We start from the raw sequence: 19,020 nt of genomic DNA, 5'->3' as shown, positions 1-19,020 counted from the left end.
ATAAAATAATTTGACATTTCTGTGTAGACCAGGTATAGGACCCTGTGTAAAACTTTCAATTCTCCCATTTTCCTAAGACAAAGACACTGTTTCATTCTCTTCATTCTATTAGTAACACAGTAACCATCTTAGTAATATAACTAGAAGATGGGGTGAAAACCAGAAAGCAGTGGGCATTTCAGATAAAGGGGAGGATATGTATGGTAGCACAAAACAAGAACAAAATATCAAAAGCTAAAGTTTGGAGGACAAGAAGTTAAATACTGAGAATATATTTCAGTTTTGCCTATGTTCAAAAGTGTATCAGCAGGAAAATAAATAATGACATCCATTTTAACCAATTAAATCAGTACAGTTAAAAAATACTTACAGTCAATGCTGGTAGGTAAATGGTTAAAGTATAAATTGGCACAACCTTTTTGATTTAGTAATTCCAATTCCAGGAAATCTATTCTAAGGTCATTAGCCAATTGAAGAAATAGTGAATTTAAAACGATTTTCAATGAAGAATTATTTAACATTTAGTTTGCTTGTGATTTCTTTTTCTTTCTGATATAAAGTGTGGGGGAATAGTGAAATAAGCTACAGACCAGCCTTATGATTTTTTTAAATGTAGAAGACATTAAACTATCTTCAAAGACATTGGAAAATATTCAAAATATGTATAAAGAGGGAAAAACTGTGTAAACTACATTTGTACGATCTCAGTATATCACATATGTAAATACACATACATAGAAAAAATACTGGAAGGAAATATTCCAAAAGAAAAGCTCCTTTGAATCTTGAGGTTATGAATGAATTTTATTTTCTTCTATATGTTTTCCGTCTCTTTGGAATTTTCTATAATGAACATGAATTACTTTTTTGTCTTTTTTAAAATGATTTTTTTCTCATCATAAAATTGTACTAAGCTTAAAAATTTCAAAATTTGCAGAGAAGTTAGGGTCTATGAAAATGATGTCTGTGCCATGTCTTTCAGCTATCAGTATACAATTATTACCAATTTAGAAATGTATAATGGTAGTTCAAGGTGTGTATGTGTAGTATATGTAAGTATATGTACATGTCTATAGTATACATGTGTATATATGCACACACACACAGAGATGACTGTCCCAAATAATAAAGCACAAAGTAAAGAACAGTAATGATACAGATCTCATTTATGAGTAGTATAAGAAGAGGGGGTTCTCACACCTGACCATGTATCAACCGTATCAGAAGAGCTTCTTAAAAAAGAAAAGCAGAGAAAAAAGATATAAATATATTCTGCATCTCACCCTCTTGACTGTTAAATCTCTGGAGAAGTGATTAGGGATATGCAGTTAAAAATCCTTTCATCATGATTCTGATACTCTTCCAGGCGTGGGAACTACAGGTACCCACATGTATACCAAATAATTTTTTATTTATAAGAATCACTCTCTAATAAAGTATATCAAAGACGTTTTACTTGTCTGAAAAGAAAGGAGGGTTAATGACATATGTATACAAACACATATCTAGACATATGTATGTAAAATGTATTAACATATATATCCTGTATGTGTTACTAATATTTGCCTATCTTTAAACTATTAGTGGAAAAGTTGAGTCTTATGTAACCTTTGCTAATGGTGATTACGCGCGGTAGTAATGAAAATCCAGGTGATATTTCCCTCCAAATTTCAAACATACAAATCTGTTTTCAAAATTGTTAATGGCCATTTGAAAGAATTAATAGATCATTTATGCAGAAACATGCAACAGCCAATTTCCTTCTCCAGGGAAGACAGACAAAGAACAATGAATTTCCTCTACTATGCCATGATTAGGAACAGTGCTCCAAAAGTTTTTTTTAAAACAAGAATGCTTTTAAAACTTCAGCAGGAAGCCAGACCATTTTAAGGAAATGGAGAAAATTTCACTTACCATATGCTTACCCATAGAAGTAATGGAGACTTTCTGTTTTATTCTAGGGATAAAACAAATGTTCTGGGAAAGACGAAGTTACAATAAATGGAAAAGGGGGCTTCATATTAACACTCTGGCCCCACAGCCATGAACTAGGATGGCAACCACCACTACTTACGGTCGAGAGGAGGCCTCACATTATAGAAGTTGATGTTCTTGGCAAATGCCCAGCTTTCTGAGAAGATAACGATCTGGACAACAGCTATAGCGAGAGCGTGACAGAGGAGCAGCATGCTGACCTTGTGTGCTGGGCGGTCCGAACTCTTATATCTATGGTGAAAAGACACACTGGTTCAGTTTCTTTATATTTTACATCAGTGGGTTTGTGTTTTGCTTCTGTTTGGAAAGCTCCATTATCCAAATATATCCAACCATCTACCTGTTGTGTAGGGCCAGGACCTGCGAGTAAATTGCATTGTTTTTGATCAAATGAAAGGTAAGTAATGACCTCCTTCTACTGGTCAGGCCTCTGCACTAGCCAGGTGGGCTTTAGCAGAACACTCGATGGCCTTTTGAGTTCAGGAAGGACAAGCAGGCAGAGCTGGCCTGGCTGCACCCCATTCCCTCAGTGACTGCGGCTAGCTGGTTTCCTCTGTGCTGAATCACTGGATTTCTCAAATCAACCGTGGTTCTGAGGCATGTTGAGCCAAAGTCACTGGACCACCTATCTGTCAGTTCCATTCCTTGAGTCAACATTTGCATTTGATAAATTTTGCAACTCTTTCAAAACCTAGAAGAAACAATAAAACTGGGAGCAGTGAGAAGGACAGCAGGGGAAAGGACAAGGAGTCTGAGAAATAAAATCTCTGCCAGATCCTAGAGCACACCGACATTGAGAAGAGAGACAAGAGTCGTTGTGAACTGCCAGCCCCTCCTGTTTCTGTCACCCTGGGCACAAGAAGCTGCCAGGAGGCTCTAGAGGAAACAGAATAAAAGTTGTCTGAAAAGCTGACAACCATATAATGTTAGTCCTGGTCCACAAATACTACTCACCGCATTTATAGACTTCAAGTAGGCAGGGGAAAATCCCAACAAAATGACAGACAGGCACATAGCACTGAGTAAAAGATATGACATCTTAAGCCCCCTGGCTCTACTTCCCCAGAGGCAGAACTGGTAGCAAGAAAATTTATAATGTCACCACTGACAGGTTTCCTTTGACAAGGAGGAGGTGTGGGCAGCAGAAAAAGTATGTAACCGGGAACCCGAAGACTTTGGTTCAGGTGCTGGCTCTGCTATTTATTAGCTGCCTGACCTTGGGCAAGCTCTTGAAACTCTATTAACCTCAATTTCCTCATCTGTAATGTGGCTTAATAATACCTACACTGCCCACATATTTAGGTAAATGTGAGCGTCAAATGTGGGTTCAGAAAGGATCACATAGGATTGTGTACATAAAAGAACTCATCATAAAAGTTCTGTGAAAATACTGGAATACTAGAGTTCAATAATATTGGCTGAACTCCTTCTTGCTGAATCAACTGGTTTCAATGGGTTTAGGGAATATTTCAAAGGAAAAAGGTTTGATCTCTGCATATACAAGCATAATCCTTCACATGCACGTTTTGTTTGAACCCAGAGCAATAATGCATAGATTCTAGGAATTTTCTTCCCTCTCTTATTGTGGGTATACTGATTTTGCATGTGTCACTAATAAGGCCTTCCCATGGGGATGGAACTAAATTATTAGACAATACATAGCCACAACATCCTATCATCCCTATCGATGGTGTTTGCCACTGATAGAACTGAGCTGCTAAGAAAGTACTAAGAGTTATAAAACAACAGCAGAGTTATAAAACAGCAACCACTTTTGTGAGTATGTTTCAAAAAACAATAGCTAAACTTTCTACACTGCATTATAGCTCATGTACATAATCATACCTAGTGATATATACAAATATATATAATTCTTTCCTGGTTCATTTTAGAAACCAAGATTGACCTTTCAGTTATTGGATTTCTAAATTCCATTCTTATGCTCTTTCTGAAGAAATGGACAGTTAGCAAATAATATTATCCCTTACAGTCAAGTGGTTGTACTGATACAGATTCTGCTTCTCCTATTCATTTCTCTGAGTTGGTCTATTCCATAGTCATTATTATACCCTTCTTTATACCAGTGGAGACCCTTTGTGTGGGGGAGACTAATCCCTTTTTCACAGTCTCAGAAGGACTATGTTCCAGTAGCAATATTCAAGTGTTCTTATAATATGGAGAGAAGGCCTAAGATACAGGTTTCAGTGTCACGTTATCTACATTCAAATCTCTTTTTCACTACTAAGCAACTATGGGACCTTAGACAAGTTGCTGAAGGTTTCCAAGTCTTGGCTTCCTCATCTCTAGAACAAGCATAGGATAGTACTTACCTCATAGTTTTGGAGTGAGGACTGAATGACCCAGTGCATAGGGAAGCTAAGCACATAGTTTGCACGCGCTGAGTGCATGTGCTGAGCACATGGTTAAAGCTCTATTTATTGAGCACTTTCTACTCAATAGTAAAGAGCATTGGCTCAAATACCTGTATCCAAAACTGCTATTTGGTGCAAGTTCCTTAACTTCCCTGTACCAAAATTTTTGCATCTATAAAATGGGAGTAATAATACCCATTTCATAGGGTTGTAGGAATTAAATTAATGCCTGTAAAGTACTTAAATGAGTTACGTGTGTGGAATTTTGCTAATTTTTACTAAGTAAGCACTTACTATTATGAACAAATCCCCAGTTTGGTATCACAAGTAAGAAGTTTGGTTTTCCTCATGTAATCTCAGTGTGAGACAAAAGCCCATTCATTCATTCAACATGTTGTTATTGATACCTAATAAATAACAAGTTATTGTTATCGCTGACTCCCCAACAAGGTCTTGACTCTAATGCAAATTGCATTTTAGAGGGAGAAAACAGGCAATACATGCGGGCAAAACATAATTTCAGATAGTCATAAGTTTCATGAAGGAAACACAATAAGGTGAGACGATGGTGAATAGCAGGTGCTACTTTACACAGACAAGGACCCAGTATGTCTCTCTGAGTAGTTGACATTCGAACAGGTAAATTAAATGATGGGAAAGAATCAGCCAAGCAAAGAATCAAGGGAAAAGTAACCAAGGTCCTAAGATGGGAAGAAGCTTGCCTCATGGGGGAACTCAAAAAAAGCAGCCAGTGTGGCTGGAACACGAAGGAGGGGACTGGACAGTCAGGGAGTCGGTGGGACCAGATCACACAGATGCTTACAGGCCATAGCAAGAATTTTGAGTCCAGCAAAATCAAGAAATTTTTGAATTTAGACCATCTAATTGTGAAAAATGCCAAGAATGCTTTTTCTCTGTCAAGTAATTGGTCCCAGATTCCTAGTCTTATCTCTAGTTCCTGAAATAAAGGGATATAAATGATAGTGAACATAGAGGAATATGGAATTCAGATACACTGCAAAGGTCTCTCTAAGAATAAATGATAGACAACTTAAAAACAACTGATTGAAAACAAGCACAAGGATTAGGCTTCTTTCTGGTTTTTCCATCCTTCAAAATAGCACTGTAGGAACCCTAGTGCCATTATCATTGTACAAGTGAGGAAACCGTGGTTTAGCAGCAACATATGTAATGATCCCAGCACACTGCTCAGAACATAGCATCCTCTCAAAAAACTTCCACATAGCACAGCCTAGCCTGCTAAACTTGAAAACTAACGAGAAGTATACCAAAAATTGCTTCCATATAGACAAAATGTATTTTCATTTCCATTTTTAACTAAAACAGCATAGACTTATTCTATCAAAATTCTGCAAAACTGCCAAAGTTTTGCCTGTCAAGTGAGGAAAGTACTAAATAAAAATGTCTTCTATTTCCAGAGCATGTTTTCTAATCTATTACCATCTACCACTTCTTCCTGAGCACCTATATCTATCTATATCTATTCTTCAGTGTGTATGTTTGTGTTAACATGACTTTTATTTTTCACAACTCAAACACATTAGGATAATGAAAAAGTAAATGACTAACTATAGTAGCTGACAGTTGTTTTACATTAGAATCATTTCACAGAGACTCTGAACTAAAAATTATCTGCTGAGACTTTGCTGAGTAGGCTTTCATTGCAGTCTTTGTGGCAGATCAAGGTCACAATAGAGCTTATATTTTGCTCCAGAGGGGGAGAAATCTTTTATATGGATGAGATTAAGCCATTCAGGTTATTTTGTCCTAAGCCATCACATAGAGCAGTGTTACTTCTTCATATGTGAAGACAGGTGACCTATGAGCGTCTTCAGGTTATTTGCAAAATTATGTGTCTAGACATGTTTTCCCTCTGGGTGGAGTATCTCAAAGGAATCCACATAATCGATTGTAGAGACCCACATAATGGTTAAGAGCGACTTCTTGCTGTTTCAGAATATGGCTATAATAATTTGGCTTCCTGTGACTTAGACATTTTCATATTTTGACACTAAGGGAAAAAGTTCCACATAGATATTAGGTATCGTGACTTCAAGCGTAGCTCAAAACATTTTTCCCAACACAGAGCTTATTACCTTCATCCATCTTTCCTACATAGTAGGCCTGGTCAGAAATCCCTCACCTATGGTACTGATTTTTCCTGTGTTTTATGAGTCCTCCCTTCGGAAGATACATTAATACTTGCTCCAGAATGCAGAGTGCTTCTTTGCCAGAAGGAAGGGATTTCTGCAAGGCATATTTATAGGGATACAGAAGGGATGGGCAACTCTCAGGCTTCCAGAGAATGGCAGGTAGCCAGATTTGTAAATTTAGGAAACCCCACCTGAGACTTTGGCCTATTACTGACCAGAATCAAGGACTTACCTGGCACTTGGTCCAGAAGCATGACTATTTCCCAAGTCTGAGCTCGGATAATCATCTCATCCAACGTGTGGCATTTTACACTTCCAGGGAAAAGACAGAAAGTTGACGGGGTCTTCAGGAAGCAGCACATCTTTGACATCATAAACTCTTTTGAGGTAGGAAAATGACCCACATTTTTTTTTTGTTATATTCCCCAGGCCATGCTCAGTGCATGCTAGATACTCAGTAGATACTTTATGGAATAGAGCCAACCTCATTAGCTATGACCTATAAAGAGTGCCTTAGCTAGTAAGCAAGACAAAAGTTGTGGGCAGTAAAGAATTGGCAGGGTGTCCAAAGATGATAAAGAAATGATGAAAGGTGATTTGAAAAAGAAGAGACTAAACAAAGGTGGCAAATGCTGCCATTTCTTGCACAATTGCTAAAAATGAGTCAGCAAGCACAAGGCCAACTTCAGCTGCCAATAAAATAAATGAAATACATAATGTAAGGGGAACAGCTCTACTAAGTCCAACATGCCTATCAACACTCACATTCACACCTTCCTGCAAGCACCACTTATCTCACAGTAAGACACTTTAATGACATCTTTAACAGGCCTGGCTTCCCTTGTAAAAAGAATAGAAGGCAAAGTGGAAATTCAAAATGAGAGCAGAAGTTTTACTCAGAAAGAATGGAACAGACAAAAAGACTCCTCCTCCAAAGGGAAATTGGCCAGAAAAGTTTACCATTTACTTGCTTCTGGCTGTTAGGCCAGGTTGGCAACTGGAGATATTTTGGTTCCCATTAAATTTAGGAAGAACACAGGTGGGGCTTAGTCAAGACCAGGTGCTCACTCCCTTCCTTGCAAGGGAACTGAGGCTTCAGTTCCTAACCTTCCCTGGGCGTTGGGAACCCAGTTCCTACGGCTTCAATTTCTCTTTGCCAATAGGTTCTCTATTTCTGGTACATGGAGTGTTGTTTTCCCCCACAAGTTTAAATATGAATTATTTTAATTTTAATATATTTAAGCTAGCATTCTATGTGCCTGAAGCAGAATAGGAGAGAGAAGTTGAGCTTACAATCAACCCCATCATCTTGATCTGACGATTAGATCTCTATAGAGCACAACAGACTTTACTCTTGGATAACAACATTCAATAGGAAAAAATAAAATCATGATTCAGCCTCAGCCTTCACTATAGCTTGTCCAAACCTTGAAAGTAGTGCAATTATAAGTCATGCATTTGTACCAGGTACTGTACTGAGCACACCGTCCTTGTGCGCTCAAAAATTATTGGGACCAAAAGTCAATATGAGCCACTGGTAAGATGTGACTGACAAGAATTAATACAATCATCTTTGAGAGGAGGAATAACAATGAGCTTTAGGTTCAGAAATACCTAGAAGAAAATTCTGGTTCTACATTTACCAATCAGGTGACCACAGAGTTAAGAAATACTGTGCCCATTTGCCAGTAAGAAAAGTGAGTCTTAGAGTCACACAGGAAACTTCTAAGTTGTGGTGTGGATTGAGCACAATTACATAAGTAAAATACATTTTACTTAGATGGGGTTCAAGAAATCTTAGGTGCCTGCTTCCCGCATTTCTCCCTCCTTCGCCCTTGCTTTAGACATCATTAGCAGCAGAATAGAGATCAGATCAAGTGGCATAAATGTTCAGCTTCATCGCATACTGGCTGGAGTAAATCTGGTCAACAGGATTGAGTTCTGTGCACTGATTTCTTAAGATTTAGAAATTCTCTCTATTGCAACCAAGGGAAAGTTGGAATGAATGACTGCCAAGGTCCCTTCCACTTCTAATATTCTGTAATTTTTATGGAAAGAGATTAATGAAGAATTCTAGTTATTCCATAAAGAGTCATAAATGTAATACAGCAGTCCCATCACATTTCAGATTCCTGCTGTACTGCTTTAAATAATCTAAACTTACAAAAAATCTCATCAAGCATAGGATCAAAAACTCATCAGAAATAAGTAACTCATTTTTTAAGTATAAAGCTGTATATTTTGCAATGCCAAAGACAGAAGCTTTTTCTACTACATGCAACCTGATCAAAGAGAATGTCTAAAGCAGCACTGATGTTAAAATAATTTCATTATGCAAATCAATTTTCAATCTAATCATGAATTAATACATGGCCCATAAGTGTATAATTTGGGTGGAGAAACAGTCTAATCAATTTTAAAGACATCTTTTTAAATGTGATTCAAATTTTAAGAAAAACCTAAAAGACTCTTCTAAGGTAACAGCTCTTCAACTACATTTCTGTCAAAGACAGGATTTTATACCTTTCTGGAGAAGGCTTTCATGACACCAGAAAGGTAACATGGTAAGAGCTCCACATAGAAAAAATTTAAAAGCAGTGAGGCGCGGTGGCTCATGCCTGTAATCCCAGCACTTTGGGAGGCCAAGGTGGGCAGATCATGAGATCAAGAGTTCGAGACCAGCCTGACCAACATGGTGAAACCCTGTCTTTACTTAAAAAATACAAAAATTAGCTCGGCTGGTGGCACGTGCCTGTAATCCCAGCTACTCAGGAGGCTGAGGCAGGAGAATCACTTGAACCTAGGAGGCGGGGATTGCAGTGAGCCGAGGTCATGCCACTGCACTCTAGCCTGGGTGACAGAGCGAGACTCTGTCTCACAAAAAAGAAAAGAAAAAAAAAAAAAGAAAAGCTTAGATGTTTAGGAATTAGAAACTCCCTTTAAAAAGAATCAAGATTGGTTTGCCATGTCTTATCCAACTATTTGGACAAATGGTAGGAACCTAATAAGTGCGTTGATCACATTTGAGAGTCTCCTTCACACAGGTGAAATAATTTTTACCCTGTTTGTTTCCATAAATGATTTTTAGGAGGCTTATGCCAAGTCATGTATGCATTAAAGCTCTTAAAATACTGAATAAAACCCATACTGGATGAGAGGATAGCAAAGATCCTAACCCCTTCCATGAACGAAGCACTCAGCTGTGCATTTCCCTTTGCTCTGTACTTCCTAGAAGCCAGGGGAGACATGGGACGCACTGATTCTCATTATTTGAGAAAAGATAACTCTTCCTGATACTTAATTCTCTAATTAATGAGTCATACCAGCTACAATATAGGGGGCACCAAGCAACATATGAATAACACCTGAAATTCGTTTTGAGGACCTCCAGATGCATCCATCATTTGGCCATTTATTTATTTTTCTTGAGACAGAGTCTCGCTCTATCATCAGGCTTGAGTGCAGTGGTGCGATCTCGGCTCACTGCAACCTCCACCTCCCAGGTTCAAGCGATTCTCCTGCCTCAGCCTCCTGAGTAGCTGGGACTATAGGCGTGTGCCACCACGCTCAGCTAATTTTTGTATTTTTAGTAGAGACGGGGTTTCACCATGTTGGCCAGGATGGTCTCGATCTCTTGACCTTGTGATCTGCCCGCCTCGGTCTCCCAAAGTGCTGGGATTACAGGCATGAGCCACCGTGTCTAGCCTGACCATTTCTTTAAAAAAGCCAAGGACATAACATGGAAAGGTAATTCTATACAGACCCTTCTGCTATCAGGTATATAAATGAAAGATTTGTTTTTCTTTTCCATGGGAGAGGAGTGTCTTTATACTTGAGAGAAAGATATAGGTGGACAGAAGTTCTGCAGGAGAGCTGCTCTCTTTATTGAACTCATTTCTTTTAATAACCAATCAAAGCTCTCTTAAGAGAAATGGAGGCTGAAATGTCCTGCAGCTGGCTAACAGTCCATTACTCGACATTGGTTGAGTGGAGGAGTGTATCATGCCACAAATGCACTCTAATACGTGGCATTCAGTTGAGGAAATTTAGCATTCAGGGTCACTCGGTGTGTAAGGTGATGGCTAGCACTTTTTGACTTCGTTTAGCCTCAGCTGACATAGAAAAATGATCGTAAAAATAAAGTTTTCATACAGATGTGTTTCTCACTTGAGAAATGTCTCTGTATATGTGTGTTTGGATATGTGTATATGTGCATATACACAGACATACATATATTTTATTGAATGAATTCATTGCTTAAGCACTGTGTGCCAGATTGTAAAATTGTCCCTAGAACTCTGTTTAGGAGACAGTATTCCCTATAATCTCAACTGCCTTCAGCACCCACATGGTTATCTTTCAACTGGGAGAGCTGCACGATGCAGAATTGTTACTATGCATCTGTCCTGTCTTTTTACTTCTGTCCTAGGGTTTCATGTCGCTGACCATTGTTTATAAAGCCCCCACTCACTCAACTTTATTCTTGAATCCACATCTAGAAATATATTACCCAAGTAAAGAACATGTTTGTAGATATCTATCATTTTGAAACAGGAGGGCATTTAAAAACGAACAATAAACTGCATGCTATGGCAAAGAATATCATGCTGACTTTTGCATAGTCACAAAATCCAGAACAGATTATTCAAAGAACTCTCTGGAAGCTGACAAGCTTATAAAAGCAATACTAATAAAAAATTTCTGCATTCTGAATATATAACAAAGTTACAGCGTGTCACTTGCTCCATAAATTGCCACTATTACCACTTGGAGCAGAAGGAAATGTACATATATAAAGATATATATGTGCATAATTTCATATTCCCTGGAAACTGAAAAATTATGTATGTTAAATAGTGTTTTAATTGCAAAATGAAAAACTACATTAAATGGTTCACGATACGGTTCATGGTCCCACAAGGGTAAAGTCAAGTGTAAATGCTGCCTAGTATAATGGGGAGAAACCGGCCTCTGGAGGCACTCAGGCCTGGGGGCAAATTCTAGCTCTGTCCAGGATCTACTGCCTCTAGCTGATCACTGGATTGCTCTGAGACTGTTTCCCTATCAGTAAAATAGAGATATCAAATACCTATATTGCAGAGAGTTTTATGCAAATTAAAGGAGAATAAAAAATAAGCCCCTATCTATTTCCATTTTTGTCAAATTATTAAATCACTTAGAAAGCTCAATACAGAGATTTATTGTTCCTCTATGGATGATCATACAGGCCAATATCATTAAGGCCATACAATAGCTGACAAGATTTAAGACTGAAATTCAATATACATATTTTCAGCTCTCAAATTCTATGATTATCTGAGCACATATGACAGCAGAATGTAAAATTCCTCTGAAGACCAATTTTAAGAAAACTACTCTAACATACATGTGAGAGCAGTATTTAGGCTTCACTGGAGCATTTCCATTTATCAGCCTTCTGGTAAATCTATATGATTTGCCTATACTCATAAATAACACGCAGTAGTTCTCATAGCATTTGCTTTAAAAAGCAACAGGCTCTGTGCTTTCATTCGTATCATTGTTTTATTGCCTCAAGTGTGTGTCATACTTCCCATTCTGCTTTGAAGGTCCAGTTCATATATTTTTCATTCACAAAATCTTTCCATGCCTACTCCAGCCCATGAGTTGGTCTCTAGCCTGAAGAAAGCTTGGAGTTTGCTTGTGGACACAGACTGTCCTTCCTTGCTTAGCAATGGGTTGGGCAGAGAAGGCCCAGTCTATGTTTGGAGATGGGCTGAAGGTCTCTAAGTGAACACAGACCTCATACGCTTGCAGATATTGCAAATTTTAAAAAAATGACTTTTCACCTTTTTTGCCAACAGAATTGCCATTTCTATTTTGATTGTTCATTTAAGTGAACAATGTTTTAAGTTTTGTAACAATCTTTTAACAACATTCTTCTTTTAAGTTACCCACGTGGAAATTATGAGAACTCCATTTTCAGCAACTGAAGGTCTGTTCAACAACGGCCTAGTACATTCACCTGTGATTCAACACACACTGTGTGGGGCTTGAAATACACTACAATCACACCACCTTCCCAAGCTATCCCAGTCGGTGAAAGGGAAATGAACTCTCCTTGGCTTCCCTCTTTGCTTCTCCAGAAACACCCTCTATCCCTCTCCACCCTACACTGTGCTCTGGGAAGCTGAGCTAAAGAATGCTCACATAGTTCCCTTTCCACTGGCTGCTGGTTTGGTTTGGCCAATAGCAGGTGCTGGTAGACTGGCAGATGGAAAGACAGTGAGACTGGGTATTTATTCCCCTGACTCCCTCCCCATCAGGTTATCATCATGTCCCACAGCTCCTAGCAGGTGGCCAACTCTGCAGCTACCATCTCCTAGATTCTGGTAACTGTTTTCTCATCTTGTCTTCTAGGCCTATAATACAATACAGCAGAAATGATTTTCTCTGCTGCTAGCACTGGAATCTGCTACTACCTCTAAATCTGGCCCACATCATTGTAAACAGTCCCTTTATTAACTCTCTTAAATAATGCCAGGTTGTTTATACCAGGTGGTTTCTGCCATGACCCCAACTGAGTCTTGAATCTAGGCTAGAAACACCAGGAAAAGAGCCACTCTGGACCAAAGCATTATGGCTTGTTTTAGCAGAGGTATTACAGGCAATGTTGCAACGAATAAAGAGTAGCCTCTTTACTATGAAGTGTAAGGGCAATTGTTATGATCCATTAAGTTATAGGAAACCAACAACTAGATTTATGCTACAAACCAATCAGGGTAAGAAGAAAGACATTAGTAAGAAAATGAGAATATTAATGAGCAGTATACCAGAAGATAGAGCTAGCTGAAGAATATTTTATAATTTCATACAAATGTCACCACCCTCCCCAAAATTTAGCTTTTTCTGCTTCTACCATCACTAAAGCACATCATTAAATAAGCAGAGAGAGATGGGCAAGATCCTTGAACTTCAATAAAAGGGCTCAGAAAGATGGACACATGTTGGTATGGACATAGCGCTGAAGCCCACTGAGGCTATACTATATTCTGGGCTGTACTCTTTTATTGCAATATTATACCTATCAATATCTACATGGAAATGTAAGTTTATTTGAATATAATAAATTCACTGAAACCTGGATTCCTCTATTTGTGTGATGATGCTTGGCCCTACAGTTTCCTTTCTAAGATCTAGTATTTCAAGAAACAACACTAGATTCCTACTTGACAAAAGGCTTCTCACTTAAATTAAGAAGCTACTCCTGAACTGCTGTCTGCTTATTATTCTGGTGGCCTCTCATCTTCCACAGTCCCAGACCTTCTCACTGGAATAATGTTCTCAGGAGCCTCTTGTGTCCAGGGAAGCCCTTTCCTGCACCTTCCAAATTTACTCGTACCCACCTTTCTTAATCAATTTTATTTCCTCTTCCCCCTCTTCTACTCCCTGCTACCCTCACTCAAGGTCACCTCAAAGAGAAAAAAAGTGTTTAAAAAAGAAGTTCAGCTGGAAACACACATTGAGATCTCATTCATATTCTGTACTGATTTCCAGACCATAAGACTCCTAGAGAAAGTGTTCTTTGATAATGCCTAAAATAGCCCCTTTTAGCTTGTGTTTTGAAAAAACCACACCTTGGATGTACCTTTAAAAGTAGTGGCATGTAACAACAGAACTGAAAGAGGCCAAGAAAAAGGATTCTTCTGTTTTTTATTCCTTTTTTATTATTAATGAATGCAGAGATTCTTCTCACTACAAGTGCCTAAGAGACTGGCCAAAGTACTTGGTGAGGTGACCATCTGGAAGGTGAGAGGCCTGGGGAAGCACCGATGACCCTAATTGTTCACAGTGTATGGGATGTGGAGCCCACTGTACCCGATGCCCAGCTCACATCCACTGATGGCAAAGATGACTTCTAATCCACAGACTCACAAGTCTGGCAACTGTCTTCTGCTGTGGGTAATAATCACTCCAGAAGCGAGCACAGCACATGTACTTCAGGGCTCATCACTCCCCCACTTAACACTCCCCAAAAGCCCCCCAGAGACTGCCCAACGTAATCATTGAATAAATGCTTGATTGAGGTTGACTTCACCATTCTCTTCAGTTTGCAAAGCCCACTCCCCTGGCTCTGAGGCAGATCAATTTGCATTTACCCTTTAGTGTCTGCATTTGGGCAGTGGGCAGTTATTCCAACTTGAGGGCTAAGAGGGCTCAAATTAGCACATTCACTATACTCCATGATTCATCTTCAAAGAACTTTCCCATCCGAAACTAATTAATCCTCTCCACATCCCTGTGAGGTAAGGGTGGTGTGATCATCTCCAGGGTATAAGGAGGAAATTGGGGATGAGGAGGTTACAAGCTGTGCCAAGGGTAATTAAGGGTGTCTGCAGGGGAATGAAGTCATGATATACCAATCCCAGGCCATTCCTCCACCTTTCACCATGCTTTGACCATCTGATCATTCTCTGGGCTTTGGTGAAAACATAGACAGAGTCTAGGAGATATGAGAATTAAAAAAAAAAAAAAAAAAGACTTGCCCCTGCCAAACACTTGAGATGTCTTTCCTACAATAAGTTGGTATTAGAAGCCGCTTCTTTGCCAATATCAAAGTATCCAAGAAAAACAAAAAGGAAGCCACTTCTCTTAGTTTCTTCCCGACAAAAATATGTCGTTAGGTAAATTTAATACTGTTTCCTGGAAAGAAGGCTGAGAAAAATACATCTTCATCTGTCTTCCTGGGAAGCATACAGTGAGGTTAACTCTAACGTCTTCAGAGGCACAAGCCAGCCCACCGGCAGGCTTGAGGTTCAGGGTTGCTGCCTGTCCAGACCTGTGATCTGCCTGGAGCAGGATGATAGCATAGCCCTCCTTAACACGCTTTACCTAGGCCTTGCTTCTCTGCAAGCTCCCCAGAGAATGGCATAAAGCAAATATTTCAGCCATCTCTACCCTAGACCTTTCTCACTTTGCTGAAGAAGAACCAGCATTGGTGATTTCCAATTCAACCACCAAAACAGTGTCCTTTTTCCTTTGCTGGCTCCTCTTCCTCCTCCTGCCTGCCCCAAGCTTCAGGCTTTTATGTTATTACTATTTACTTTCTCATGGTATATTAGGATATAACTAATATATAACTATATAATAGCAGGATGCTATTACTAGTACTTTCGTTAGGGATCACATTCACTGTCACATATTTGACTCCCATTTCTCTATTGCCAGTTTCTAAATCACCAGGCCTCTCCCTGACCTGAAAAGGCTGCATTGTAAATTATAATTTTTTCAATTTTTATATAGTATGAGTTGGAGTAGGTAATTTACTATTTCATTTGGAGAATGACTAGTCCTAATAGTGAAACTCTGTAATGTGCCAATAATTAAAACAGTATAGACAGGACTAGCATATGAGCAGACAGACAAATGAAACAGAATAGACGGTCCAGACATAGACTCAAATACATATAAGAATTTGTTATATCACAAACATAATCTAGTGAAGCAGGGATATACTTAAAGAAGTTGAGTTGGGACAAGTGAGTGGCCAGGAAAAAAATATGGTTGGATACATACCTCATACTATACACACAAAAACAAAGCCATAAACATTTCCAAAAAGAATATTTGAACAAGAATAATTTTATTAAATAATTTTACATTATTTAATTAAGTTTTAAAGAATTGTTGTTATCTTAATTGTTTAGAGGATATATTCTAAAAAGTCCATCCTTACATATTATTGCTACATATAGAGATGCACTTATGAAGAAAATAATATATCTGGAGTTTGCTCTAAGCATTCTCAAAATGAGTGAGAAAATAGATAAAATAAGATTGGCAAAATATTCTTAATTGTTGAGGCTGAATGATGGGTAGCTGGGGTCTATTGTACTATTTTCTCTATTTGTATAAGCTTAAAATTGTTCATGATAAAATGTATTTTTTTTAGTGCCAGAAGAAAATATGAGTGACTTTCTTGGAGTAGGGAAAGGTCTTTCTAACCATGATTCAAAACACAGAAAGTATAAAATTAAAGTTTGATAAATTCAACTATATTAGACAACTTCTGTATGTATAACAAAAAACTCATAAGCAAAGTTAAGAAACATATAACTTGAAGAAAATATTTTCAACTCCTATCACATTTAAAACAATAGATAATCTCACTAATATGGAAATAGCTACTAGAAATCATAAGAAAATTATCAGAAATCCAATAGAAAAATTGGCAAAGAAAATTAATACACATTTCATAGAAAAATCCACCAAATGGCCCTTAAATGTCATGAGAACAGCTGAGCATCTTTTGAATAGGAGAAATGAAAATGAAAATTGTACTTTATAACTTCTAAATTTTGGCCAAGCTGATACATGAACATGTTTTCTTAACACTCTCCTTTTGAGAAGACCACAGGAAATTTTCATATATTGCTTGGGGGAATACAAACCCTATGGAGCAATTTGACAACATTATTAAAATTTTAGATGTACTTACCCTTGACCCCAAAAATCCTACTCTAGTTTTATTCTACAGGTAGACTTGCATACATGTACAATGATACATTGGCATGATATCATTGTAGCACTGTGTGTAATAGTAAATGTCTGAAAACAACCCAAGTGTCCATTAAAAGGAATATAGATACGTGCACACACACAGAGACACACACACGCACGTGCGTGCACACACACACACATTACCTATTGTGTTACCAATGTTACCTCATATGTTACCTATTGTGTTAGAGAGGGAACAGTATGAAAAACACTATATGTGTTTACTCATATATGGATAAATATACTCAGTAAGAATACCTAGGAAACTAATAAAAGCAATGGCCTACAGGTAGAGAGCCAGGGATAAAAAAATTATAGTACAAGGGAACAGAAGTGAGAAAGGGACTTCTCAGAGTATAACTCATTTCACTGTTTTGATTTATAATCCATGTGAATGCATGACTCATTCAAAAATTAAATTAAAACAAAACAATTCAATTGGCTCTATAGTTTATGGTTAAAGCTCAATAGTTCTCTCTAATGGACCAATGACTTGAAAAATTCAAACAGCAGATGGTACAAAATAGCATTTTTGTTTGGCTTTGAAATGCATCATTTGGAGGTGGGCATAGGGGTACCTGACAATTCACCATCCTAATTACATTTTGCAAACTGCACTGGTAAAGTCCCCTGAGATCCTGCTAAGAGCACATTCACAGTTGTCTAAATAAAAGCTGATTAAGAATGAAGGTAAGGAAGATCAACAGCCAGGAAGCATTGCCTTGCTTCCCCAACAGGTTTATTTCCATTTATGTATATAGTGTTGTGATGTGCTGGCTATTAGCAGCACTTCTCCCTTACTCTACAGACCAACAGGCACCAACTTTTTTGTCCCCCAGCTCTATTTCTATCTTGCCCCTACTCCTAACTTCAGATTCCATGTTTAGAAGGATTTATCTAAACTCTATGTAGAAGATAATTCATTATCCATTTTTAAGATTAAAAACACATAATTGCCGTAAAAAGTGATCCACATGAGATAACTAAATTACTATTTAACATGATATATACATATATACATATGTGTGTGTATATATATATATATATATATATATAATTTTGGACAAATCAAAAAAATTGTTTTTATACCCTCATTAGCCCATATTGTTTTATTGCCCTTGAATAGACAATTTATTTTATGCTTTTTGAAATATTAAAAATAGCTCCATATCTCCCACGACTACATTTGAGGTTCTGGGACCCCAGATTTCAGGCTGCTGAGTAGGCAAGAGGAGGAGGCCTGAGAATTCTCACTCTTTAGCCCCTGGCATGAAGTCTTCATAGGAAGAGGGGGCTACCATCCACTCCAATAGGAAAGGAGGCAATGGTCCCTTGTACATATATAGTAAGGGGGAAATTCTTGTTATTTAGCTTAGTGAAAAAGCTAAATATTTTGGCACACCTGGGCTATTTCTCAGCATTTCAGTTTCCTTACATGTAGAATCAGGTCTTAAAAGTTAAGAGTATAACATTGGGCAAGTTATTGAATCTCTCAGTGCCTCAGTTTCCTCATTGTGAAAATGACAAAATAATAGAAAACAATGACCTCGAGTGAGTGAGTTCATTTGTCTTAAGGCACTTAGACTAATGCCTGGAAGACAGGAAGAACTCCATAAATACTAGCTACCCACATGAAACATCTTAGAGGTAAGTATGTTTAAAACTACCTCTCTGGAGCCAGGCGACCTCCTGAGACGTTACGGAATATATCCTCTGTCACCATTTTCCTTAGACTAATTAGCTGTAATACAAATGGAAAATTATTGACTTTCACAATCTCAACTTTACTGGGTGTTGAGTGATTTACATAATCCTGTAGCTAGGAGGTCCCAGAACTGCATTCCTTTCTTTGGCAAATTTGTATGTCTTCCTCAAAGGCAATATTTATTCATCACATCCTGAATGAGTAATGACTCTGGGCTGGGGTTAGGTGGAGAATG

General features: G+C 38.1%; 1 protein-coding gene across 30 annotated transcripts in view; it reads right to left on the bottom strand.

Annotated features, from left to right (window-relative positions):
* LYPD6B (LY6/PLAUR domain containing 6B) overlaps positions 1-19,020 on the bottom strand; it is a 176,564-nt gene that overhangs the window by 7,784 nt on the left and 149,760 nt on the right. For 26 of the 30 annotated variants that reach the window (XM_047443412.1, XM_017003366.2, XM_047443404.1 and 23 more), the window contains one exon: positions 2,075-2,226. In XM_047443412.1, coding sequence (XP_047299368.1) covers positions 2,075-2,226 — 152 coding nt within the window. Of the gene's footprint in view, positions 1-2,074; positions 2,227-6,773; positions 9,154-18,747; positions 18,822-19,020 lie in introns of those variants that run through there. The other 4 variants (XM_047443416.1, XM_047443414.1, XM_005246306.5 and 1 more) reach the window with 2 other exon arrangements.

The sequence above is a fragment of the Homo sapiens genome, chromosome 2, assembly GCF_000001405.40.
Source record: "Homo sapiens chromosome 2, GRCh38.p14 Primary Assembly".
Classification (NCBI taxonomy): domain Eukaryota; kingdom Metazoa; phylum Chordata; class Mammalia; order Primates; family Hominidae; genus Homo; species Homo sapiens.
This window is presented reverse-complemented; position numbering and strand designations above follow the sequence as displayed.